Source organism: Homo sapiens, chromosome 6 (assembly GCF_000001405.40).
Source record: "Homo sapiens chromosome 6, GRCh38.p14 Primary Assembly".
Taxonomy (NCBI): Eukaryota; Metazoa; Chordata; class Mammalia; order Primates; family Hominidae; genus Homo; species Homo sapiens.
This window is the reverse complement of record NC_000006.12, coordinates 26,780,900-26,807,774: the sequence shown is the minus strand read 5'-3', so window position 1 is coordinate 26,807,774 and position 26,875 is coordinate 26,780,900. Positions and strand designations below refer to the sequence as shown.

Here is a 26,875-nt window from a genome sequence, read left to right as displayed (position 1 = left end):
AACAGTAGAATGTCACTTCTATTTAACATGGTGCTGGAAGTCCTAGCCAGAATACACATTCTGGTCAGGTGCACATGAAACACTCTCCAGGACAGGCCATAGATAAGGCCACAACATGAGTCTTAACAAATTTGAGAAGACTGAAATCATATCAAGTATCCTTTCTGGCCACAATGGCATGAAACAAGAAATCAACAACAGGAGGAATTTTTGAAAATTCACAACTATGTGGAAATTAAACAACATGCTCCTGAACAACCAATGGGTCAAAGAAGAAATCATAAGGGAAATTGAAAAATTACTTTGGGACAAATGAAAATGGAAATACAATATACCAAAACTTACAGGATACAAGAGCAGTTCTAAGAGAGTTTTCATCAAAAAAGATGAAAGATCACAAATAGACTACCTAGCATCCATTACACCTCAAGGACTGGAAAAACAATCAACTAAGCTAGTTACAAAGTTAGTAGGAAGACGGAAATGATAAAGATCAGAAGAAGTAAACAGAAGATAGAAAAAATAAAGAGACCAACCAAACTAAGAATTTTTTTTAAAGGTAAATAAAATTTACAAACCTTTAGCTAGACTGATTAAGAAAAAAAATGCAAAGACTCAAATAAAATCAGAAATGTAATCAGAAATGAATTGAAGAGGTAACGACTGTTACCACAGAAATACAAAGGATTATTTAAAAACTACTATGAACAATTATATGCCAACAAATTGGATAACCTAAAAACTGGATAAATTCCTAGACACATGCAACTTGCAAGACAGAATCAGAAACTCTGAACAGAGCAAAAACAAGTAAGGAGATTAAATCAGTGATAAATCTACCATCAGAGAAAAGCCTAGGACCTGACAACTTCACTGCTGAATTTGATGAAACATTTAAAGAGGAAATACCAGTTCTTCTCGATCTCTTTCAAAAAACTGAAGTAGAGGAAATACTCCCAAACACATTTCACAAGGCCAGCATTACCGTGAACCCATTGCCTGAGGAGAGCACTACAAAGAAAAAAAAATTACAAACCAATATCCCTGATGAACATGTATGCAAATATACTCAACAAAATACTAGCGAATTGAATTCAACAGCACATTTAAACAATTATTTACCATGATCAAGCAGGATTTATCACAGGGATACAAAGATGGTTCAACTTATACAAATCTGTAAATGTGTGATCCACCGTATTAACAGAATGAAAGACAAAAACCATCTCATCATCTCAATAGATGCAGAGAAAGCATTTGACAAAATTTAACATTCCTTCATGATTAAAAACTCTCAAAAATTAGGTATAGAAGGAATGTACCTTAACACAATAGAGGCCTTTATAGGACAAACCCACATCTAACATCATACTCAGTGGGGAAAAAAATTGAAAGCTTTCCTTTTAAGATCAGGAATAAGACAAGGATATCCACTCTTGCCACTTCTATTTAACATAGTACTGGAAGTCCTAGCCAGAGCAATTAGGCAAGAGAAAGAAATAAAAGACATCCAAATTAGAAAGGAAGAAGTTAAATTGTCCCTGTTTGTAGATGACATAATCCTATATATAGAAAACCCTAAAAAACTCACCAAAAATCAAAACTGTTAGAAATAAAAAACAATTTCAGTACAGTTGCAGAATACAAAACAACATACAAAAATCAACATACAAAAGCTAGCATTTCTATACACTAATGGCAACCTAACCAAAATAAAAAATTTTAAAGATCCCATTTACAGTAGCTACAAAAAATACTTAGAAATAAATTTAACCAAGGAGGTGAAAGGTCTGTATACTGAAAACTATTAAACACTGATGAAAGAAATTGAGGAAGACACAAATGGAAAGATATCCTGTGTTTATAGATTGGAAGAATTAATATTATTAAAACATCCATACCCCCCCAAAGTGATCTACAGATTCAGCGCAATCTCTATCAAAATCCCAATGACATTTTTCACAGAAATAGAAAAAAAAAACCCTTAAAATTCATATGGAAGCACAAAAGGCCCCAAATAGCCAAAGCAATCTTGAGCAAAAACAAAACTGGAGGCATCATACTACCTGACTTTAAAAATATACTACAAATATATAGCAATCAAAACAGCATAGTACTGGTGGAAAAACAGACATATAAACCAGTGGAACAGAATAGAGAGGGCAGAAATAAATCCACACATTTATAGTCAATTAATTTTTGACAGACGTGCCTAGACACATAATGAGGAAAGGATAGTCTCTTCAATAAATGGTGTTGGGACAACTGGATATCTACATGCAGAAAAATGATAGGAGGCCCTTATCTCATACCACATACAAAAATCAACTAAAAATTGATTGAAGACAAACATAAGATGTGAGACTCTAAAACTTCTAGAAGAAAACATATGGGGAATGCTCCATAACATTGGTCTGTGCAATGATTTTTTGGATATGAACCCCCCCAAAAGCAAAAAGACAAAAATAGATAAATAAGATTACATGAAACTAAAGAACTTCTGCACAGCCCCCCCCAAAAAAAATCAACAGTGAAGAGACAACCGATAGATTGGGAGAAAATATTTGCAAACCATACTTCTGTAAGTGGTTGATATAAAAAATACATCAGGAACTCAACTCAATAGCAAGAAAACAAATAACCCAATTAAAACATGGAGAAAGGACCTTAATAGACATTTCTCAAAGGAAGACACATTGCCAACAGGCATATGAAAACTTGCTTAATGTCATTTATCATCAGGCACATGCAAATCAAAACCACACCTGTTAAAATGGCTGCTATCAAAAAGGCAAAAGATAACAGGTGTTGGCAAGAATGTGGAGAAAAGAGAATCCTTGTACGTTGTTGGTAGGAATGTAAATTAGTGCAGCTGTTTTGTACAGCAGTTCCTCAAAAAACTAAAAAGAGCACTATCATATGATCCAGCAATCCCACTTCTGGGTATATGTTCAAAAATCGGGCTATTGAAGAGATACCTGCACTCTCATGTTCATTGCAGAATTACTACTAAAGTAGCTGAATCAACCTAAGCGTCTATCAGCAGATGAATGGATAAAGAAAATATTACAACTGCACAATGAAATACTATTCAGTCTTTTAAAAAACAGAAATCCTGTCATTTTCGATGTCGATGAACCTGGAGGGCATTGTGTTAAGTGAAATAAGCCAGGCGCAGAAAGACAAATACTGCACGATCTCACTTAAATGTGAACTCTAATAAACGTCAAACTCATCAAAGCAGAGAGTAGAATGGTAGTTACCAGGGGCTAGGGGAGGAGATGGGAGGTAGGAATGGAATTAGAGAGATGTTTGTCAAAGGACACAAAATTTCAGTTAAACAGGAGGAATAAGGTCAGATCTACTGTGCCGTATGGTGACTACAGTTAATAATAAGTGTATTCTGTACTTTATAGTTGCTAAAAGAGTAGACTTAAGTGTTCCCATCACACACACACACTAAGTAATAGATACGTTAATTAGCTCGAGTTAACCATTCCACAATGTATGCATATATGAAAACATCATGTTGTACATCATAAATATATACATTTTGTACTTGTCAACTAAAAAAATTGTAAAAACCAGTATTTAATGCTCATCTCAAAATATAAAAAGCCTGTGATGCAAAGGGTTTCTATGGTGTAGTCGTTACCACGCTGGCCTAACACATGGAAGGTCCTCTATTTGAAACTCAACGGAAACAACAGGTTTCTCTGGTCTCCCAGAATCTGACCGGGAGTGGCCGCTTCTTCCCGGGAGTCCAGAGCTGCAAGGAACAAGTGATAATCCCGCCTCTTTTAAAAGAAAGATCGTCATCCTGGGATAGCTGTGCCAAATTAGCAGGCCGCTCTGGGCGGGCGCTCCCCAGCTGGGACGTGCTCGCTTCTCTCCCTGAAAATCTGGAACGTGAAATCTTACAGCACCAGACTTTTCCAGTGTCCACTTTCTCCTGGTTACGTTTTCCCCTCTCCCTCGCAGAGGAATAGCCATCATGCCCTTGCCCTTGGCCATTTTTGAGTAGACTCGCCTTAGGTCGAGTCCTGGTTCCCCACTAATAATCGAGACATTTCCTTTGTTCCGAGACGCAAGAAATGGTGGGTAGTCGCGCACATCTACTCCTGAATAAAGGAAAGGGCAGAAAGTTTTGCGGTAGGTGACGAGTGAGCGCAAGTGGTAGAGTACTCGCTTAGCATGTGAGAGGTAGTGGGATCGATGTTGTCACTTGGGGCCGCATGTCCATACAGTACAACGTGGAGAACGGCTTCATTAGTCACCTGTCGAAGAAAACGAGGAAGTACCAGCCATCTTGAATGCTTCACTGGTAAAAGACCTATGGGCATAAAGAAACAGTGCTAATAATAGCCCCTAAAACGTTCAGTGGACAGTACCCATTTTCTAAGTTGTTTTCTCTTTATTCAGAGGAAAGAGGAGATCCCAAGAGGGTGGGATATACCCAATTGTTCCTTTTCTCTCCTTCCTGCAGCTTGACCCAAAATGCCAAAATGCAGCACAGCTCTGGAAAATGCAGGGCAGAGCAGGATGAGTAAAACCCCAGCTTTCTTTCTGGTCAGGGCGCTGTAAAGTGGAGTTCCGAGTCACCGGGAAGTCCTGCTGAGAGTGTGGAAAGCAAACCCACAAGTGGTTTGTCAACTCACCGAGTGCACCCCTGAGTTGCGAATATGTAGCTGTAAAGAGCAAAACCAAATACAGAAAGCTTATTTTTTCCCAATTTAAAAACATGTTTTGTGATTCTACTTTAGACATCTTGAATAGGCAAATTCATGTAGACAGAAAGAATAGAGGTTGTTGGGGAGAGGGAAATGTGGAGTTATTGTTTAATGGGTACAGAGTTGCTGTTTGGGATGCTGAGAAACTTCTGGAAATGGGTAGTGGTGATAGTTGCTCACATTGTAAATGTACGTAATGCCACTAAATTGAACACTTAGAATTTTAAATGTAAAATGGGTTAAGTATATTTTACCACAATAAGAAAACACAAACTCTTGTTCATTCTGTAATTTAGCACATAGTCTCATCATCTGTTTTTCTCCACACCAGCTCATCTGTTCATCCTTCTATTCATTTGACAAATACTTAGAAATGTCTAGATTTATTGTTCCATTCATCAGACATTAATTCAGGATCTCTTGTGTGCCACAGTGTCAAGACTTCTCCCTCAAATGTTTACACCAATGTCTTGACAAATACCATAGATCTTTCCTGCACAGCCTCTCCAGAATGTTTTTCTTACCTTTCACTCATGTTTCTCTTGCCCATTCTACCACGTTTATGGAGGACGTAGTCTGCACCACAAAGTATAATGGGCACTGGAGCTACGGAAAGACTCATGCTGTTCACTTCAGAAGCTGACGGAATAAATGTGAATAAACCTCAATTCTTTAATCTATTTATAACTTCTTTCCATTTCTCTTCAATTACAGTCTTCCTGTTCCCAAGCTCTTTGACATCCAACACTAAACACCTTTTTCTTAAATGTTAATTTGGTTATGTAAGCTGTCTGCAATTTTTTCAAGGGTTCTTAAGTCTCAATGTTTTCCCAATCATTATCTCCATGTGCACAGGCATTTCAATCACTACTTCCTTTCATTTTATAAACAGGCACACACACAAGCAGGCACATATGCACTTGTGCACTACACATCCCAAGTGAACAGGCATGTTTCCTCACACAGGAATTCCTACATCTATGCCTGTTCCTTCAAACTCATGTGCATTCTTCCTCATCTGCATCCTTCAAGGTTCATATTTATCCCTTTACTACAAACTGATCTTTTAATCCCCATGGTTCTTGTCTGTAATACTTTTGTGATTTTTGCTGTTTTCTTATGTGATGTGAATATGTGAGTTCTATATGATGTAACTTAAAAAGACTTGAATATAAGTATGTGTATATATATATATATATAAATCTAACATAAATATATCCTATATATCTTAGAAATCTAAGATATATACATACCTTGAATATCTTAGATATATCTATCTTAGATTTAGGAAGTCTGAGGGTTTCCTCAGTGTAGTGTAGAGGTTATCTCACTCACTTGCCTAACACGAGATGAGGCCCTCAGATAGAAAGACAGATGTTATATAATTATAAAGCGTCTATTCACCGAAGGGACACAACTGTCCTAAATATGTCTGTTTCTGGCCACAGAGCTTCAAAACTTATGAACAAAATGGATAAACCAGAAAGAAAATAGAAAAATCCAATTACAGTTGCAGACGTTAACACTCCTCTCTCAGTAATTGATAGATTCAGGAGAAAACAAATCAGCAAACATTTTAGAGAACAGAACAACACCATCCACCAATGGATCTAATAGACTTTATAAAGCAAAATCACAATTTATGTAGAAAGGCGAGCCAAAAAAATCAAAGAAAAGCAAGATCATATTATAAGTAGGAAATCACGAATGGTCAGAGTGCAGAAAAGTGACATTATTGAAACTGATATTTCTGAAACAGTTACTTAAATAGCAGGAAGACCGATAACGGCGAATCTGTAAGTGAATCTTTCCTTGTCCATATGTATCCTGCTTTTTCTTGAGGTCTGGGCTGGCCAAATGTCTCCTGAAATTCCTGGGCCTACTACAGTGTCTGGCACAGAGCATCTCTCCAGCAAATATGTACTGAATGAGTAGAAAGGAACTGACGGATTCAGAAGAGACCTGCAAGAATAATGTTCAGTATTTGGCAAATCACTGAATGTGGTGTTTGAAGGAGGACAATGAGTCAAAGTTGACTTGGAAATCTAGGCCCAGGAGGAGGTTGAGAATTAGATATGTGGTATATGAATGAATGGACTACTGTGGAGAAAAACAGGCAGAGAGATAATGAGCAGGAGCAGAGAAAAGACTCACCTTTTGGAATCTAAAATAAATGTGCTTGTCAGTTCAGGCTTTGCCACCTAGCATCTCTGGCACCTTAGAAACAATAATTATCTGAGCCTCCAGTACATCTAGAAAGTGCACATTAGGATACATCGTTTTGTTAGCGAAATTCAACTGGACTACGTAAACGCAAGAAATCTCGTAGTATACTTAATAGCACACAAGAAAAAACAAAGGGGTAAAAAACAAAGAGGGTGCCATTATAAGTATTTTGTGTTTTTTTTTGTAGCGGCAATGTCTTCAGTCATGTAGATGCAAGTGGAGATATGAAGGAAGACAGTAGTATGATCAAGAGACAGGTTTGATGGCTATTTCTTCATTCATTTATCCAGGTGGTCAGTGAACTATCATGAACTGAGAACCTCCTGTCTCTTTTCAACAGAGGAGACTATGGAAAGTGTAAGAGTGACTAAGGTTTCTGAGGGAAGGAAAAGGGAAAAAGAGCAGCAAAAGACAGGTACAATTGATCCTGGTAACGCAGAACCCAGACGGTCCTATGAAATACTGGAAAGGCGTAGACTCCTCTGGTCGTGGGTATGGAATCTTCCTAGTGCAGCGTTGATTGATACAGAGTAATTTTCAAGTAGGATTGATTGTAGTTTTTGAAAGCTGAAACCGTAACGTAGGTGGGAAATACACTTCGACAAAATGGATGTTGCCCGAGCTCAACAGCAAGCCCTCTTAGCGCAGCTGGCAGCGCGTCAGTCTCATAATCTGAAGGTCCTGAGTTCAAGCCTCAGAGAGGGCATCACTTCTGCCAAAGAAGTTGGATACACTAAATATCGGAACGCAACGCAAATGCTATAGCAGATAAGGATTTGAAGACTGACCCAATATTTGTAGAAAATGGAAATATAATTTAGGTTTTCTTGTTTTTTCGACTTTCCAGTGGTTTGAGTAAAATGAGTGGTGAAAACAGAAGAGTAGATTACACCAGAAACTACAAGCTATGTCATATAATTGGTCTTTCTAGCTGACACAGGAAGCAGGGGAAATTTCTCTTCCAACTTCCCGCTCTCAGGGTCACCTCACACTAATTATTGGGTGGATGGGTGAAGTCATTTATTCTTTTAATCATCCAACAAATATTTCTTGAACACATATCTTGTTAAGAGACTGGGGTCAAGAGTGAATACAACGCAAACATTCCTACCACTGTGAAACTACATCCTACTTGGGAGGAGTGGGGTGAAAGTGTATTCAGCACAAATATTCCTACTATTGCGAAACTACATCATACTTGGGAGGAGTGGGGAGAAACAGACAGGAAACAATCAAAAATATGTAAGAAGTGATTTGACGATGTCTACTGTGAGGGAATCGCTAGGCAGTAAAGGGTTTGGGAATGTGGAGGTGGCACATTCAGCTTTCAGGAGGACAATCAGGGACTCTGTCACCTTGACAACTTTAGCCTTGCCTTCTTCTAGCCATCTTGCTGGAACACTTGTGCCCGTGTTTTTCTAACACTGTCATAAGAGTACTTTTACCTATCAAGGCAACTGGGGGTTAGGAGAGCTTTTTGCCCAGAAGGCTAGTTGGCTTCCTTGGAAAACTGATGATACATGAGGACTGGGGTTGTCAATCCCTCACATGTTTCTTCATATGAAAAATGAGGACTGTGGGATTCTCTGGCTGGATCTCAGCACCTAGAGATGGATCTGGGCAATAGGAACTGCTCAGTATTAGCTACCGCTTTGGTTGCCTTCTCCTTGTGGAAAGCTGGCCTCTCACACTGAATTTGTATCATAGGCACTCATGAGGGTCTTGACTACATCAATATCTGATGGGAGACTTTAGGGCAGTTCTGTTGTCGTAGCTGATTTGCTCATTTGGTAGCTAGCATCCAGCTTCTTGTGAACATTAAAATAAAATAAAATAAAATAATAAAATAAAATAAAATAAAATAGATTATGGAGGAATAGAATACAGATACATACTAAGGCATAATTTTCCAGACAAAATGGATTTGGATAAAAGAATCTAATTAAGAATTTGTGCATGGTTCTTTTAAAATTCCTTTGATTTTTTTTTTTTTTTTTGGCCTGTTTTTCAAGTGTCCAATTTTTGTCACCCTTCTCCCATCAGGTCAGAGAGATAGCCAATGGTCAGAAGCAATCTTCCAGCAACTGCCATAGCGCTTTCTCCTGCCTGCAGATGCCTCTTTTTAGTCAGCCTTTATGGGAAGTAGCAGCACCATCCGTTCCCAGAGAGCAAGCTCTGGAGTAGCTGAGCTAACCCCAGTTGCTAATCTGAGCTAATCCCAGTTACCCCAGTGGATTTACAGATTGAGGGTAGAACCCAGCAGGGTTCTCTTCTTGGAAAGAATAGGCTTCCCTCTAAGGTTTCACATAGATACTGGGTGAGGAAACAGCCCTAAATGGCTTCAGAAATTGAATGTTCTTTGGGCAAAGCAGGAAGCCCTGCTGTGGAAGAGCATCATTTGAGCATAAATCAGGTTATCAGGACAAACAGAGTGTTCAGGAGGTCTAGATGGTTAAGCAGAGAGCCTCATCAGAATATCCGTGGTGAAGAGAAACAATCTTGTTGGGAGAAGGATAACCGTAACTGGGGACTTAGAATAAAGGCTAAAAATGATTCAAAGAGAATGCAAAAAGAATCAGGCACAAATCTTTACTATATTCTGTTGTGCAAATCTCACCTTACTATGTGTTTATATTCTATTCCTCCACAATCTTTATTTTATTTTTATGTTCACAGAGACTTGCTGGTTCCAACTAAATGAGCACAACAGCCAGTGACAACAGAACTGCACTTAAATAGTCCCTCATCAGCTCTTGAGAGCAGATTCCTTAAAGGTGAACAATATTCCACATACAAGGACTTTTCAGCAGTATGCATTAGAAATGGAACTGAATGTTTATTATTCTTTATATAAGTTGGTTGATACGACTTTTCAGCTTCCCTCAGTAACATTATCTAAATTTTGTAGATGACAGTAAAGCTCAGAGGAGTTAAACCATTTTCCTCAAATCACGTAGCTTTAAACAGGAAAACCAGATATGAAAAGCAGATTTCTTTCTAAATTAAAAAACAAAAACAAAAAAACTTGAGCTCTTGCTTTACCCTAGCACATAGTCTCGCCATCTGTTTTCTCCACACCAGGTCATTCATGTAACATTCATTCACATAACAAATACAAATAAATGAGCGGATTCATTCATCAGATATTAATTCAGAATCTCTTTTGTGTCTACCACACTAGGCTCAAGACGTCCCAGTGTCTTTGTCTCCTCTCCCTCAAATCTCTCCACCCAATATCTTGACAAATAAAGTAGATCCTTCCTGTACAACGTCTCCAGAATCTTTTCTTCCTTTTCTTTCACCTCTGTCATCATTCATGCTACAGTGTTTACGGAGGATGTGTTCTGCAGCATGAAGTGTCGTGGGCACTAGCTCTGCAGAAAGACTTCTGCTGTCCACCTCAGGTGCTGACATGATAAATGTGGGTAAACCTCAATCCTTTAATATCTTTATGACTTCTTTCCCTTTCTCCCCAGTTCCTGTTTTCTCATGTTCAAGCTCTGACATTCAAAACTAAACACCTTTCTCTAACATGTTGCTTTAATTATTTAAGCATTCTGCCTGGGATATTTTCAGTTAGTCATGGGATTTTTCATAAAACTCTCCCAATATATCTCCAAGTGGCCAGGCTTTTCAATCACTGCTTCCCTCCATGTGTATTTCACACACACACACACACACACACACACACACTCTCCACTTAAATTGAACAGGTTTATTTCTTTACACAAGAATTCTTACAAACAGCCCGGTTTTCTCCACCATATGTCCACTCCTTCTCTGCATAGCTCAATTTTGATTCTTACACTATATTTTACATATTCTTACACTCTGATACGATCTTGTCTCTTATTCTTTATGGCTCTGCTCTGTAATTTTGTTGTTGTTGTTCTGAAATATAGTTGGACATGTAACTTGTACATGACACACCTTAGCAAGGAGGCAACTCATATCTCAGATGTAAGTGAAAGAAGCACTCTCCAGGGGTTTCCTATGGGAGTGGTCAGCACGCTGGCCTCATTGGTGGAATGGCCTAGTTACGAAAACAGCAGGAGCTTTTTGCCTTCCAGAAATCTGGACCATCTCACAACCCCCAGACAGTCTCAGCTACAAGGAAAAGTGATAATTCCATCCCACTTTTATAAACACACACAAACACACACACACACACACACACACACACACACACACACACACACACAATCATTTAATCATTTTTAATCATTTAATCATTTTTTTAAAATCTCTGACACTTTAGCTGGGCAGGTCTAGACATGTCCTCCTTTGCTGGGATGTGCCTTTTTCTGTCCCGGAATACCCTAAACTTGACATTTTGGCAGCACGAGTTTTCCCTTTGTGACTTTCTCCTTGTTCCCTTTCTCCTCCTTCTTTGCAGAGAATGAGTAGCCACTGCGCCTTGCCCTGGGCCATCAGTGAGAAGACCTGCTCTTAGTAGAGCCCTGCTTTCCCGCTGAAGGCCTTGAAATCCCCTGTGTTCCAGGACACCCACTAAAGATCAAGAAAGCTCCCCTGACGTGGGGAATTAGCTCAAGCGGTAGAGCGCTTGCTTAGCATGCAAGAGGTAGTGGGATCGATGCCCACATTCTCCAAGCTTTATTATTTGGACCTTGGGTCTCCAAACACTCAAGTATCCAAACCCAAGTTAGTGTCTGAGAGCAGGATGCTGCTTTGGTTCAAGACATAGGAGCAGCAACAATACAGGCCTGGTGATGGCTCCCTCCTGGCATTCAGTATAGTGTAGATCTACTGTGTAATTCATTTGCTGTTTCCTCAAGGAGCTGTGAAACCAAGGGACATATACAACTGCTCTTTTCTCCCTGTTTCTGCCTGCAGCTTGGTCCTAAACCTCAGACAATCGTGAAATGTGCAGGGCAGAGCCACCTGGGTAAACACAGCCTCGGCTTTCTGCTCAGGGGACTGAAACCAGGATGTGTCAAGTAACTAGAATGTGCCTGGACAGATACTGTAGAAAGCAAACCCATAAAGTTGTTCATGAGCTTGTGGACACACCTGCCAGCTGTGAATAAGTGGCTCTAATCCCAAACAACTTACCTACAAAGAGCCTGAGAGCTGAACTGCGCAATGGCCCACTTTCCAGTCCTCACTGAAGTTGCACACACTCCGGAAATCTCTGAACAGTGGCGTAAAGGCTTTGCAAATAGAGTTATCTTTGAAACAACAACACGTGGAAGGCTGGTTGGTACTTGGAACTTGAATACAAGGCAATTTTGTGCCTGCAAAAACAAAAATAGCAATATTATTCTTAAGATTTCAACAAAACACAGTGTCTCATCACATAATCCAAAGAAGTCCAGGTTACAAGCCCCAAAATCTTCGGCATTATGAAAAAAACAGGGAGATCTTCATTCACATGGCAAAGAGACTCCTCGAATAACAATACTGAGAGGACACAGATGTCAAAATCATCTGACGCATACAGTGGAGCAGTTATGATAACAATGCTCCTAGAATTAGGGGATAACATTCGTGAAGTGAATGGAAAGTTGGAAAGTCTCAGCAAATATCTGGAATATATAAACACCAATTTTAAGCTTAAGAATTTAAAAAAATGTATTAACCAAAACTCTTAGGGGAAATAAAAAGCTTAACTGGATGATCTCGATAACAGAATGCAGATGACTAAGAAAAAGTCAACGAACTTGAAAACAGAACAAGAATACCTACATAATCTGAGCTATAGAGAGAAAGGAGTATTTCTGTAAATGAACAGAGGCTCAGGGACAAATTAAAAAATAGCAAATCTAACATTCACATTATTGTAATCTGAAAAGAAGAGGACAAAGAGGTCTTTGTGGGATAAAACTTTGAAGAATTAATGGCTGAAAATGTATCAAATTTGTCAAAAGATATAAACCAGGTTTTTAAAGTTCAGCAAAGGTCAAGCAGGATAAACCCAAAGAAACCCAACCCATTTCAAGACGTATCATAATCAAACTGCTGAAAACGAGGAAAGTACAAAACAATCTTGAAAGCAGTCAAAGGAAAATGAAAAAGAAACTACCATATGAATGAGTGTAGATTTCTCATCAGGAACCATAGCGGCCAGAAAAAAATGTCATAATGTTCAGTAAGTAACAAAAGAAAAAGACCTATCAACCCAGAATGCTATGTGGAGCAAAAGTATCTTTCAGACATAAAGGCAAATAAATGCATTCTCATTGGAAGGTAAGTCAATACATTCTCATTCTTAGCAAGAATGCTGGAAAAGAATTAGCAAAGATTTGAGATAAGAAAAGTGATACCAGAAGGAAACTTAGAACATCGTCAATGAAGGAACGAAAGCAGAAATAGAAAATGTCTGGGTAGACATAACAGACTGTTCTTCTTCTCCTGAGTTCCTTAAGGTATGTTTGATGATTGAAAGCCAAAATTGTAACTTTATCAGAAGCAGTTGTCATTGTATCGAGATGTACTACATAGATAAGATAAAAGGGTAAGTGTAATGGGCCTAACTCTTGATGAAGTTTCTATATTCAACTTGAATGGTAAAATATTGATTCTAAGTATACTGTGAAAAGTTATATACGTATATGGTAATCCCTAGACCACTTACTAACCAGATTGAAATAAACCAAAACAAGATAGACAGAGGAACATAGAAGAATTAAAACAAAGGGAACAAAGGTTAATACATTATTAAATAGATCTATCTAAAAACTTATCTATATTAACATTACACGTAAATGATCTAAATCCTTAATTAAAAACTAGAGATCATCAGAATGTATTAAAAGTAAATATGCTGACTGTAAGAAAGCCACCTGCAATACACTTATATATCAGAATAAAAGTTATATAGCAGATTGAAGGAAAAGAGTGGGAAAGATACCTCATGCAAGCATTAATCAAAGACAGCTGTGGTGTATACATTAAAATCAGACAAAGTAGATTTGAAAGCAGAGAAACTTTTCAGGAATAATGAAGGCTGCTAGATAATTACGAATGTCCATTCTCCAGGGAATACTGTTCCAAATGTATATGAGGACACAGATTTTCAAAACTCATAAACAAAATTAGATAAGCCAGGTAAAAATAGAAATATCCAATTTTAGTTGAAGACACTAAAACTCCTCTCTCAGTCATTGGTAGACTTAGTAGACAACAAATCAGCCAACATATTGGAGAACTGAACCACACCATCCACCAATGGATCTGATCAACTTCATAACGCAAAATAAAAATTTAGCCAGAAAGCAAAGACAAAAATTAAAAGAAAAGTAAGATCATGTTATAACCAGGAAATTAAGAGTGGTCCATCATATAGAAGGGTGCTATTATTGAAAGAGTTTGAAATAGTGACTTAGTTATTTTGAAAGAGTTTTGAAGGCATTATTTAGCTGGAAATGACAGAAAGACTGAAAATGGTGAATCTGGAGGTGGATCTTCCCTCATCTATATTTATCTTGTTTTCTTTTGAGGTCTAGGGTGTCTATACTTCCTCTGAATTACCTGATCCTACTACAGTGTCTGGCACAGAGCATCTCCCCAGTGAATATGTACTAAATGAGTGGAAAGTAATTGATAGATTCAAAAGAGTTGTGCAAGAATAATGTTCATTATTTGGCAAATCATTGAATGTGGTGTTTGATGGAAGACAATGAATCAAAGTTGACTTGAAAGGTAAGCCCAAGGCCAGACGTGGTGGCTCATTTCTGTAATCCCAGCACTTTGGGAGGCCGAGGTGGGCAGATCCCTTGACGCCAGGAGTTTGAGACCAGCCTGGGCAACCCAGTGAAATCCTGTCTCTACAAAAAAAAACAAAAATTAGCCGGGTGTGGTGGTATGCATCTGTAGTTCCAGCTACTCAGGAGGCTGAGGTGGGAGCATCACTGGAACCCGGGAGGCGGAGGTTGCAGTGAACAGAGATCACACCAGTGCCCTGGCAGTAAAGTGACACCTTGTCTTAAAATGAAATGAAATGAAATGAAATAAAATAAAATAAAATAAATAAAATAAAATAAAATAAAATAAAATAAAATATAAAAGTTAAGCCCAGGCCGGGCGCAGTGGCTCGCACCTGTAATCCCAGCACTTTGGGAGACCAAGGCAGGCAGATCACCTGAGGTCAGGAGTTTGAGACCAGCCTGGCCAACATGGTGGAACCCCGTCTCTACTAAAAATTCAAAAACTAGCGGGGCACCTGTAGTCCTAGCTACTCGGGAGGCTGAGGCAGAAGAATCACTTGAACCCAGGAGGCAGAGGTTGCAGTGAGCCAAGATTGTGCCACTACACTGCAGCCTGGGCAACAGAGTGAGACTCCAACTCAAAAAAATTTTTAAAAAAAATTTTTAAAAAGTTAAGCCCAAAAGGTAAGTAAAGAGGAGGTCTGGAATTAGATATTTGGTGTATGAGTGAATGAGCTAAAGTGCAAAAGAATGGGCAGAATAACCGTGAGCTGGAGCAGAGGGAAAAAAATCACATGCAAAATCTAAAAATATCTGCTTCTCAATTCGGGCTTTCCCACTTAGCAGCTTTGGCATTTAAAAAAAAAAAAAAAAAAAAAAACACTTGACCGGGCACGGTGGCTCACGCCTGTAATCCCAGCACTTTGGGAGGCCGAGGCGGGCGGATCAGGAGGTCAAGAGATAGAGACCATTCTGGCTAACACGGTGAAACCCTGTCTCTACTGAAAAAATACAAAAAAATTAGCCGGGCATGGTGGCGGGTGCCTGTAGTCCCAGCTACTCGGGAGGCTGAGGCAGGAGAATGGCCTGAACCTGGGAGGCGGAGCTTGCAGTGAGCCCAGATCGGGCCACTGCACTCCAGCCTGGGAGACAGAGCGAGACTCCGTCTCACAGAACAAACAAACAACAAACAACAACAACAAAAACGCACTTAGCCTATCTGATTCTCTATTACTTCTAAAAAGTGCATACTAAGGCATAATTTTGTTGGCAAAAGTCAATCAGACTACATCAAGTAAACTCCCTAAGTCTCCTAGTATAATTCACGGCACAAAAATATGAGGAAAAACAGGGAGGATATGATTAAAAGTTTAGTTTGTATTTTTTGTTGAGTGAATGTCTCCAGTCATAGAGATGCAAGTGTAGATACACAGTAAGAGTAGTATGAATGGCAGACACCTTGGAAGGCTATTTCTTCCTTCATTCATTCAGTTGGTCACTCAATGAACTATCATGAATTGAGCACTACCTCTGTTTCTTATCAACAAAGGAGACTACGGAAAGGAAGAATGACTAAGATCTCTGAAGAAGGGAAAAGCTAGATGACTGGGCCACAAGAGGAAAAAAAGCAGCAAGACAGGTACAATTGTGTCTGGTCCCTCAAGCCAGAAGGTCCTATCATTATGTGAATACTGGAAACGGGTGGACTCCACCTGTCCTGAGTGGGGAATTCTTCCAGTGCAGCATTGACTGATAAGGAGTGATTTCCAAGTAGCATTGATTGTGTTCTTTAAAAGCTAGGAATTGATAAAGCAGCAGTGCGTGGGAAATGAGATTTAATAATCTGGATGTCACCTCTTAGGAACAGTTGCTCTCTTAGAGCAGCAGGCCACCTGTCAATCTCGTATTCTGAAGGTCCTGAGTTTGAACATGAGACAAGGCACAGCTTATGCCGCTATTTCCATTAAGAGAAATGAAATAGGTGTGATAAATAATGGAACACAAATGCTATGAGATAATGATTTCAAGACAGACCAAATATTAGCTTAAAATTTAAAAGTGAGTTTTCTTTTCTTTTCTTTCTTTCTTTTTCTCTTTCTTTCTTTCTTTCTTTCTTTCTTTCTTCCTTGCTTCCTTCCTTCCTTCTTTCCTTCCTTCCTTCCTTCCTTCTTTCCTTTCCTTTCTCTGTCTGTCTTTATTTATTTTTTCCTTCTTTTGGCTTCTCAGTCGCTTGAGTACAAGGCGTGGTGAAGGCATATAAATTACACCAGAAACTGCAAGCTATGTCTTATGTCTACCTCTCTAGCTGACAGGGGAGGCAGGGGAAATTTCTCTTCCAATTGCCTGCTCTGAAGGTCATCCAAACATAATTATGGGGTGGGGTGGGTAAAGTCTTTTATTCTTTTAAGCGTCCAACCGATAGTTCTCAACACATATCTTGTTAAGAGACTGTTTTGGGTATAGCAATTCGCAGTGAATAAAATACAGATATTCTCACCTTTGTGATACTACGTCAATGTTGGGGGGAGTGGGGAGAAAGAGACAGAAGCAAAAAAGAAAAATAAACAAGAAGTCATGTGATATTATCTACTGGGAGGGAGTCATTAGGCAGTAAAGGACTCGGCAGTGTGGAGGTGACACATTCACTTTTCAGGAGAAGAATCAGGGAAGTTGTCACCTTGAAGATATCATTTAGCTTCCCTTTCTTCCAATAGTCTTTCTTTACATGGGAAATGAGGACTCTAGGATTCTCCGGCTGGATCTCAGCACCTAGAGATGGATCTGGGCAATAGGAACTGCTCAGTAAGCATTACCTACTGCTTTGGTTGCCTTCTCCCTGGCCTCTTGGATTGAGCTTGCATCATACGTGTTCAGTAGGAACTTGCTTAGTGGATTTACAGGTTGAGGTTAGAACTCACCGGGATTCTCTTCCTGGAGAGAACAGGCTTCCCTCTAAGGTTTCATATAGACCCCGGGTGAGGAAAGAGCCCTAAATGGCTTGAAAAATTGAATGCTCTTTGGGCAAAGCAAGAAGCGCCACTATGGAAGGGCATCATTTGGGCCTATATCAGGGTCTCAGTACAAAGATGAGTGCTCACGTGGTCAAGATGGTTAAGCAGAGAATCTGACCAGAATGTTCACGGTGCAAAGAAATAATCTTGTTGGGAGAAGGATCACAACAATTGGGGAATTAGAATACAGGCTAAATGAGACTCAAAAATAATACAACAAGAATCAGGCACAAATCCTTTACTACTACATTCTTTTGTACAAATCCATTTTGCCTAGAAAATCATACCTTACTATGCATCCCTATTGTGTTTCTCCACCATCTATTTTACTTTTTAAACTTTATTTCATTTTTATCATCACAGAAGCTTATTGCTACAAAACAAATGAGCAAATCAGCCAATGGCAACAAAACTGCACTGATCTCTCTCCTTAGACCTTCAGAACATTTTCCTTAAAGGTGAACAATACTCCACGTTCAAGAATTTTTCAGCTCTATGTGCTAGAAACTATACTGACTGTTTATTAATTTTTATGTAAGTTGGTCGATATAGTTTTTCAGCTTCCCCAAGTATTATTACCCTAGTGTTACAGATGACACTGAAGCTCAGAGCAGTTAAACCATTTTCCTTAGATCACATAACTTTAAAGAGGGAAACCAGATATGAGAAGCAGATTTCTTTCTCAATGAAAAAAATCACAAGCTCTTGCTTTAGTCTAGCACATAGTCTTATCATCTATTTTCTTCACACCAGCTCACTCATGTAACATTCATTCATTTACCAAATACAGATAAATGAGTGGATTTATTCTTGCATCGATCAGATATGAATTCAAAATCTCTTCTGTGTCTGCCACACCGGGCTCAAGACTTGCCAGTGCCTTTGTCTCCTCTCCCTCAAATCTCTCCACCCAATGTCTTGACAAATACTGTAGATCCTTCCTGCATAAACTCTGCAGAATCTTTTTCTTCTGTTTTACTCACCTCCTTCTTTATCCATGCTATGATGTTCATGGAGGATGTTTTCTTCACCATGAAGTGTGAAGGGGATTGAAGCTGCAGAAAGACTCATGCTGTTCACCTCAGGAACTGACACAGTCAATGTGGATAAATCTCAATCCTTTAATATCTTTATGACTTCTTTCTCTTTCTCCCCAGATCCAGTTTTTCCATTTTCAAGTTCTTTGACATTTAAAACTAAAAACCTTTCCCTAAAATGCTGCTTTTCTACCTGGAATTTTTTCAATGAGTCTTTAGCTTTTATAATATTCTCCCAACATATCTCCAAGCATCCAGGCTTTTCAATCACTACTTCCCTCCGTGTATATTTTACACACACACACACACACACACACACACACACACTCCACTTAAATTGAACAGGCATATTTCTTTACACAGGAATTCCTACAAACATTCCACCCTATACCTACCCTAGGTTTTCTCCACCCTATGTCCACTCTTTCTCTGCATTGCTGAATGTGTTTTCTTTATTCTTTCACTCTGATATGATCTTTGTCTCTTATTCTTTATGCCTCTTATCTGCATTTTTTTGTTATTATTGTTCTGCCATGCAGTTGGATATGTAACTTTTACATGACACACCTTAGCAAGAAGACAACACATGTCTCAGATGTAAGTAAGAAAAACACTCTCCAGGGATTTCCTGGTGTAGTGCTCAGCACCCTGGCCTCATTCCTGAAAGTCCCTCGGTGTGGAAAAAGCAGGAGCTCTTTGCCTTCCAGAAATCTGCATCATCCCACAGCCTCAGCTACAAGAAACAAGTGACAATGCCATCTCTTTTCTTTTAAAAAAATCATTTAAGCTTCCTGAGATATCTGTGACACATTAGCTGGGCAGGGTCCTTCTGTGGGACATGTCATTTTCCGTCTCGGAATATGTGAAACTTGACATTTTGGCAACACCAGAGTTTTCCCTTTGTGACTTTCTCCTTGTTCCCTTTTCTCCTCCCTCCTCACAGAGAATAAGTACCCACTGCACTCTTGCCCTGGGCCATCAATGAGAAGATCTGCTCTTAGTGGAGCCCTGCTTTCGCGGTGAAGGCCTTGAAGTCGCGTGTGTTCTAGACTGCCCACTAAGGATGAAAAAAGATGCTGTGAGATGAAGAAGTAGCTCAAGTGGTGGAGTGCTCGCTTAGCATGTGAGAGGTAGTGGGATTGATGCCCACATTCTCCAGGTTTCACTAGTCGGACCTCAGGTCTCCAGGTTACAGTGGAAAAAAATATGTGTTAGACACTGATCTCAGAAAACAGTAAGTTAGACACTCATCTCAGTAGCAGCCTGGACACTTCTTTGGCTCATTATGTAAGGGCAGCAACAATACGGGCTTGACTAAGATTCTACTGGTATGTGGTATAGTATAGATCTATCGATGTGTAATTAGTTTTCTGTTTCTTTGAGGAGCTGTGATACAAAGGGACATATCCAGTTGCACTTATTCTCCCTGTTTCCTCCTGCAGCTTGGTCCTAAATGCAGCATAATTATGGAAAGCGCAGGGCAGAGCCACTCAGGTAAATACAGCCCCAGCTTTCTGATCGGGAGACCGAAACTAGGAGTTGCCAAGTAACCAGGAAAGACACTGTGGAGAGCAAACCTGTCAAGTTGTATGTGAACTCCTGGATGCGCCTGTGAGCTGTGAATAAGTGGCTCTGATCAAAGACAACTTATCTAAAAAGAGCCTGAGAATCGAACTAAGTGATAGCCTACTTTCCAGTCCTCACTGGCCACTGGGTTGCACATACTCCAGAGTCTCTGAATAGCAGTGTTAAGGCTTTGAAAATAGAATCGACTTTGAAACTACAACACACAAGGCTGGCTGGTTATTGGAACTTGAACACAAGGCAATCACATGCCTGCAAAAACAAAAATAGCAATATTATCCTTAAGATTTCAACAAGACACAGTGTCTCATCACATAATGCAAAGTACAACCCCAAAATATTCAGCATATGAAGAACCAGGGCAATCTTAATTCACTTGGCAAAGAGAATCCTCGAATAACAATACTGAGAAGACACAGATGTTACAATCATCTGACACATACTTTTAAGCAGTTATTACAACAATGCTCCATGAATGAAAGGATAACACTCTTGAAGTGAATGGAAAGTTGGGAAGTCTTAGCAAGTATCTGGAAGCTCTAAACACTGATTTTAAACTTAAAAATTAAAAAATGTATTCATCAAAACTATTAGGAGAAAAAAAACTTCAATGGGTTATTTCAATAACAAAATTGAGACACTCAGAATAAAGTCAATGAACTTGAAAACAGAACAAAAATACCAACCTAACCTGAACAATAGAGAAAAAGGAGTGCTTTTGCAAATGAACAGAGCCTCCCGGACAAACAGAAAAATAAGAAAAATCTAACACATCATTGTAATCCTGCAGGAAGAAGAGAAAGAGGTCCTCCAGAAAGAAAACTCCGAAGAATTAATGGCTGAAAACATATCAAATTTATCAAAACACTTTAGAAGTTCAATAAATGTCAAGTAGGTTAAACCCAAAGAAATCCATACCCAGACACATCATAATCAAACTGCTGAAAACTAAGGAAAACCATAAAAATCTTGAAGGCAGCCAAATGAAAATAAAAGGGAAACTGCCACTTGAATGACTGTGGACTTCTCATCAGAAACCATAGGGGCCCAAGGAAACATTTACTAAATACCAAAAGAAAAGACCTGTCAACCCAGAATGCTATGTAGAGCAAAAATATCTTTCAGACTAAAGGTAAATAAATACATTCTCACAGGAAGGTAAACTGAGAGAATTCATTGCTGGTAGAACTGCTGGACAAGAATTAGCAACGATTTAAGATGAGAAAAATGATACCAGAAAGAGACAGGACACCATCAGTGAAGGAACGAAAGCCGAAATAGAAAATGTCTGGGTAGACATTACAGACTATTATTCTTCTCTTGAGTTCCTTAAGGTATGTTTCATGATTGAAAGCAAAAATTGTAACTTTATCTGATGCAGTTGCCATTGTATCTAGATGTGCTACATACATAACATAAAAGGGTAAAGGTAAAGGGCCTAACTGCTGATGAAGTTTCTATATTCAACTTGAATGGTAAAATATTGATTCTACGTATACTGTGAAAGGTTATATATGTATATGGTGATCCCTAGACCACTTAGGAACCAGATTTAAATAAACCAAAATAAACTAGGAAGAAGAACATAGAAGAATTAAGACAAGGGGAACAAATGATTAATAAATTATTAAAAAGTAGATCTATCGGCTGGGCACGGCGTCTCACGCCTGTAATCCCAGCACTTTGGGAGGCCGAGGTGGCTGGATCACCTGATGTCAGGAGTTTGAGACCAGCCTGGCCAGCATGGTGAAACCCTGTCTCTACTAAAAATACAAAAAATTAGCCAGGCATGAAGCCGGGTGCCTGTAATCCCAGCTACTTGGGAGGCTGAGACAGGAGAATCACTTGAACCTGGGAGGCAGAGGTTGCAGTGAGGGGAGATTGCACCATGGCACTCCAGCCTGGGTGGCAAGAGCAAGACTCCATCTCAGAAAGAAAAACAATAGATCTACCTAAAAACTTATCTATAAAAACATTAAATGTAAATGATCTAAAACAATGAATTGAAAACCAGAAATTGTCAGAATGTATTATAAATGAATATGCTGACTACAGGAAAGTCACTAGTAATATACTTATATGTGAGATTAAAAGTTATATAGCATATTGAAAGTAAAGAATGGGAAAAGATATGTCATTTAGGCATTACTCAAAGAAAGCTGTGGTGGATATATTCAAATCAGACAAACCAGATTTTAAATTGTAGAAAACTTCCAGGGATAAAGGGGGCTGTTACATAATTAGAGGTGCCAACACACCAGAGAAATAATGTCCCAAATGCATATAAGGACACAGGGCTTCAAAACTCGTAAGCAAAATTGGATAATCCAGATAAAAATAGAAAAATCCAATTACATTTGCAGACGTTAACAGTCCCCTCTCAGTAACTGATAGATCCAGTAGACAATAAATCAGTAAACACATTTGAGACCCGAACAACATCCATACAGCAATGGATCTAATCAATCAACTTTCTACAGCAAAATCACAATTTGGGTAGAAAGAAGAGAAAAAAAATAAAAGAAAAACAAGATCATGCTATAACTAGGAAATCAGGAATGTTCAGGGTGCAAAAGAGTGATATATTGAAACTGACATTTTTGAAAGGGTTATTTAGCTGTAAATGACATGACACGGAGACTGAAATCGTAAAACTGGACGTGGATCTTCCCTTCTCCATATTTGTCCTGCCTTCTCTTGAGGTCTGGGCTGCTTGAATCTTTAGAATCTCCTGAACTTACCACAGTGTCTGGCACAGAGCATCTTCCCTGTGAATGTGTACTGAATCAATGGAAAGGAATTGACAGGTTCAAAAATGTTGTGCAGGAATAATGTTTACTATTTCACAAATCACTGGATGTGGTGTTTGAAGGAGAAAAATGTGTCAAAAGTTGACTTGGAAACAAAGCCCAAAAGGTAAGTGAAGGGGATTTGGGGAATGAGATATTTGGTGTGTGAATGAATGGGGTGCTGTGGAGAGGAGTAGGGAGTAAGATTGTGAACTGGAGCAGAGAAAGAATCACGTTTTAAAATCTAAAACATCTTCTCCTCAGTTCAAGCTTTGACACTTAGCAGCTCTGGCACCTTGGAAACAAAACTTATCTGAGGTTCCATTACTTCTAGAAAGTCCAGATTAGGACACATAGTTTTGTTGGTGAAACTCTGTTGGACTACATGAAGTAAATTCAATAAATCTCTTAGTATAATTAATGGCATACAAGATTTGCTTTACACTTTTTGTAGCAGGATTGTCTCCAGTCGTGTAGATGCAAGAGGAGATAGAGAGTAAGACACAGTAGTATGGACAGGAGACACCTTTAAAGACTATTTTTTCATTCCTTCATTCGTTCAGTTGGTCAGTCAGTGAACTATTATGGACTGAACATGTCCTGTGTGTCTTTTCAAAAAAGGACACCATAGGAGGTGTAAGAGTGATTAAGATCTCTGAAGGAGGGAGAAGTCAGATCACTGGGCCACAAGAGGGAAAAAGTCAGCAAAACAGGTACAATTGTTCTTGGCCTCTTGCCTCAAGATGGTCGTCTTGTTAGATGAATACTAGAAATGGGTAGATTCCACCTGTCCTGAGGATAAAATTCTTTGGGTGCAGGATTGGCTGATAAAGAGTGATTTCCAAGCACCATTGATTGTGTTCTTTGAAAGTTAGGAACTGATAAAGCAGCAGTGCTTGGGAAAATAGCACGTGGGATGTCAATTCTTGGGTGAGAACCGCCCTCTTTCTGCAGCAGGCCACACATCAATCTCATAATCTAAAGGTTTTGAGTTTGAACATCAGAGAGGATACAGTTTTTGCTGCTATTTCAGTTGAGGGAAACAAAATGGGTGCACTAAATAATGAAATGCAAATGCTATGAGATAACAGTTTGAAGACTGACTCAACATTAGCTTAGAATGGAAAAGTGATTTCGGTTTTTTGGAGTTTTTTTGTTGTTGTTTGTTTGTTTTTTGGCTTGTCAGTGGTTTGAGTAAAATGAGTGGTAAAGGGATATAGATTACAGAAGAAACTGCAAGCTATATCATATAATTGGTCTTTCTCACTAGCTGATGGAAGAAACAGGAAATTTTTTGTCGAGCTTTCTGCTCTCAAGGTTACCCAATTGTAATTATGAGGTGAGTGGGTGAAGTCATTTATTCTTTTATCCTACATGTATTTCTCGAGCACGTATCTTGTTAAGAGACTGTTCGGGGTACAGCCATTCAACAGTGAAAAAACGCATATATTCTTCACCTTTGCGAAGCTAGTTTCTAGTTGATAGGGGTGAAGAGAAACAGATCAGAAGCAAACAAGAAAAATACATAAGATGTTATGTGACAACGTCTACTGGGAAGGAACCCACAGGCAGTAAGGGACTTGGGAGTGTGGAGATGGCCCATTCAGAAGCTTTTAGGAGCGGAATCTGAGAAGTTGTCACCTTGAAGACATCCTTTACCCACCCTCCACCCCCTCCCCACTCCCCACTCCTGCTCCTTCCTTCAATCATCTTTCTTCACGTAGGAAATGAGGACTGTGGGATTCTCTGGCTGGATCCCAGCACCTAGAGAGGGATCTGATCAATAAGAACTGCTCAGTAAGCATTACCTATTGCTTTGGTTGCCTTCCCCTTGCAGAGTGCTGGCCTCTTGGATTGAGCTTGCATCATAGGTGTTCAGTAGGAGCTTGCTTAGTGGATTTACAGGTTGAGGTTAGAACCCACCGGGATTCTCTTCCTGGAAAGAACAGGCTTCCCTCTAAGGTTTCACATAGACCCCGAGTGAGGAAAGAGCCCTAAATTGCTTGAAAAATTGATTGCTCTTTGGGCAAAACAAGAAACCCTCCTATGGAAGGGCATCATTTGGGCATATATCGGGGTCTCAGTACAAAGATGAGTGCTCAAGAGGTCAAGATGCTTAAGCAGAGAATTTCACCAGAATGTTCGTGGTACAGAGAAACAGTCTTGTTGGGAGAAGGATGACAATTGAGGCCTTGGAATATAAGCTAAATAAGCTTCAAAGGGGATACAAAAAAGAATCAGGCACAAATCCTTTACTACATTATTTTGTACAGCTCAATTTTTGCCTAGAAAATCATACCTTACTTTGCATCCCTATTGTGTTCCTCCACCATCTATTTTGTTTTTTTAAGCGTTATTTCATTTTTATGTTCACAGAAGCTTGTTGCTACAACTAAATGAGCAAAACAGCCAGTAGCAACAGAAATGCGTTACTATCTCTCCTCAGACCTTGAAAGCATTTTCCTTAAAGGTGAACAATATTCCACATACAAGGAGGTTTTCAGCACTATGTGCTAGAAATTATACTGAATGTTTCTTAATTTTTACGTAAGTCGGTCAATATAGTTTTTCAGCTTCCCCAAGTATTATTACCCCAGTGTTATAAATGACACTGAAGTAAAGGGCATATCACTCTCTTTATTCTGTGTAGGTGTGTCTGCTTACAGCTAAGGATTTCCTAAATTATAGTTTTGTAAACATTAGTTCTAAATCATTGTGATCACTTGAATTTTGAAAATGTCAAAACCAATCACATTAATGTAATAGAAAATAGAGGTTTGAGGTGCATTGGCTCGCTGTTTTATTTACTATGGATCAGTGGAGTAGAAATTCCCATCGCGGAAGAGGGTTCATTCCTGTCTCTCAGCCTCAGCAAAGTTAAACATTTCAGACCTTGCCTGACTTTGGATCTATTGCGCATGCTCTGTCCTTTACCACTATCCAGTCCTGGGGGGCATATAGAGCCACTCAGAGCCTTAGAGGTACGTTCAGTGAAATGGAGCCAATCACCATATAGTGTAGCCTATTGTTCGTCTGACCAAAATGCACTATGTTGCGATAGCATGGATTCTACAGACCCGTGAAGCCCATTTGGACCACAAGACACTCTTTCCATCATGCCTGCACACCTATCCTTCACTCTTCATTGGCTCATGCAGACTTTTGAAAGTATTTAGCAATAAGCATCCTACCCCCAAGAAGCTTATGGTCTCATGGAGAAGATGGCCAAGCAACAGACAATCCCAACATGGTGAATGCCGCTAAAACAAATGCGTACCTGGATCTCCGTGAGTGCTAGGAGGAAAGCAACCCAAACTCAGAAAAGTAGGAGAGGTGTCAGGGAAGACATTTTCCAGAAGATGGTTTCGTGTCTAACAAAGCCGTGAGACGAGCAAAGAGGAGGTGAAAGGCTCAGCGTTCTATGGGGACATTTCCTTAAGTCCAGTATCTCTAGAGTTGAGTGAGGGAAGCTAAAAGAGAGGAAATAGAAATGAAAAATGGGAGTTCTTGAGAGGCTTTACTTACCCTGCACAAGCCAAGGACAGGTCTGCGGGAAGTAAGCAGATGCACAGTTAGGAAAGCCCATATCAGGAGTTAGTCACGACAGAGAAAGATTTGTACACTTTGGAAATCGTAAAAGAATGAAAAGCCCAGGTCCTTATTTCCCTGTTTTCGTCTCTGTTTTTCACGTTCCTCCCGGATTTCAATTTCTTTCTGGAATCTTAGCTCTCTTCGTCATCTGCTCTTGCAGGAACACTGAACTGCAAACGCAACCCTACGATTCAGCGAACTACGTCCTATCAAGGTTACTGGGTACAAATACATTTACTT

General features: G+C 39.3%; 2 long non-coding RNA genes and 2 other non-coding genes across 4 annotated transcripts; 3 read left to right on the top strand and 1 right to left on the bottom strand.

The window, feature by feature from the left end:
• Positions 1–4,190: 4,190 nt before the first annotated feature.
• LOC105374992 (uncharacterized) lies at positions 4,191–26,629 on the bottom strand. Its single transcript, XR_926638.2, has 3 exons — positions 26,322–26,629; positions 12,030–12,211; positions 4,191–4,333 (listed from the first exon to the last, which is right to left on the bottom strand). It is a non-coding gene; the product is annotated as an uncharacterized LOC105374992 (long non-coding RNA).
• TRM-CAT5-2 (tRNA-Met (anticodon CAT) 5-2) lies at positions 7,590–7,662 on the top strand. The gene has a single exon. It is a non-coding gene; the product is annotated as a tRNA-Met (tRNA).
• On the top strand, positions 11,494–11,566 carry TRNAA-AGC (transfer RNA alanine (anticodon AGC)). The gene has a single exon. It is a non-coding gene; the product is annotated as a tRNA-Ala (tRNA).
• LOC124901289 (uncharacterized) lies at positions 12,949–20,182 on the top strand. The gene is made up of 4 exons (XR_007059531.1): positions 12,949–13,342; positions 14,417–14,618; positions 16,173–16,262; positions 19,615–20,182. It is a non-coding gene; the product is annotated as an uncharacterized LOC124901289 (long non-coding RNA).
• Positions 26,630–26,875: the final 246 nt, after the last annotated feature.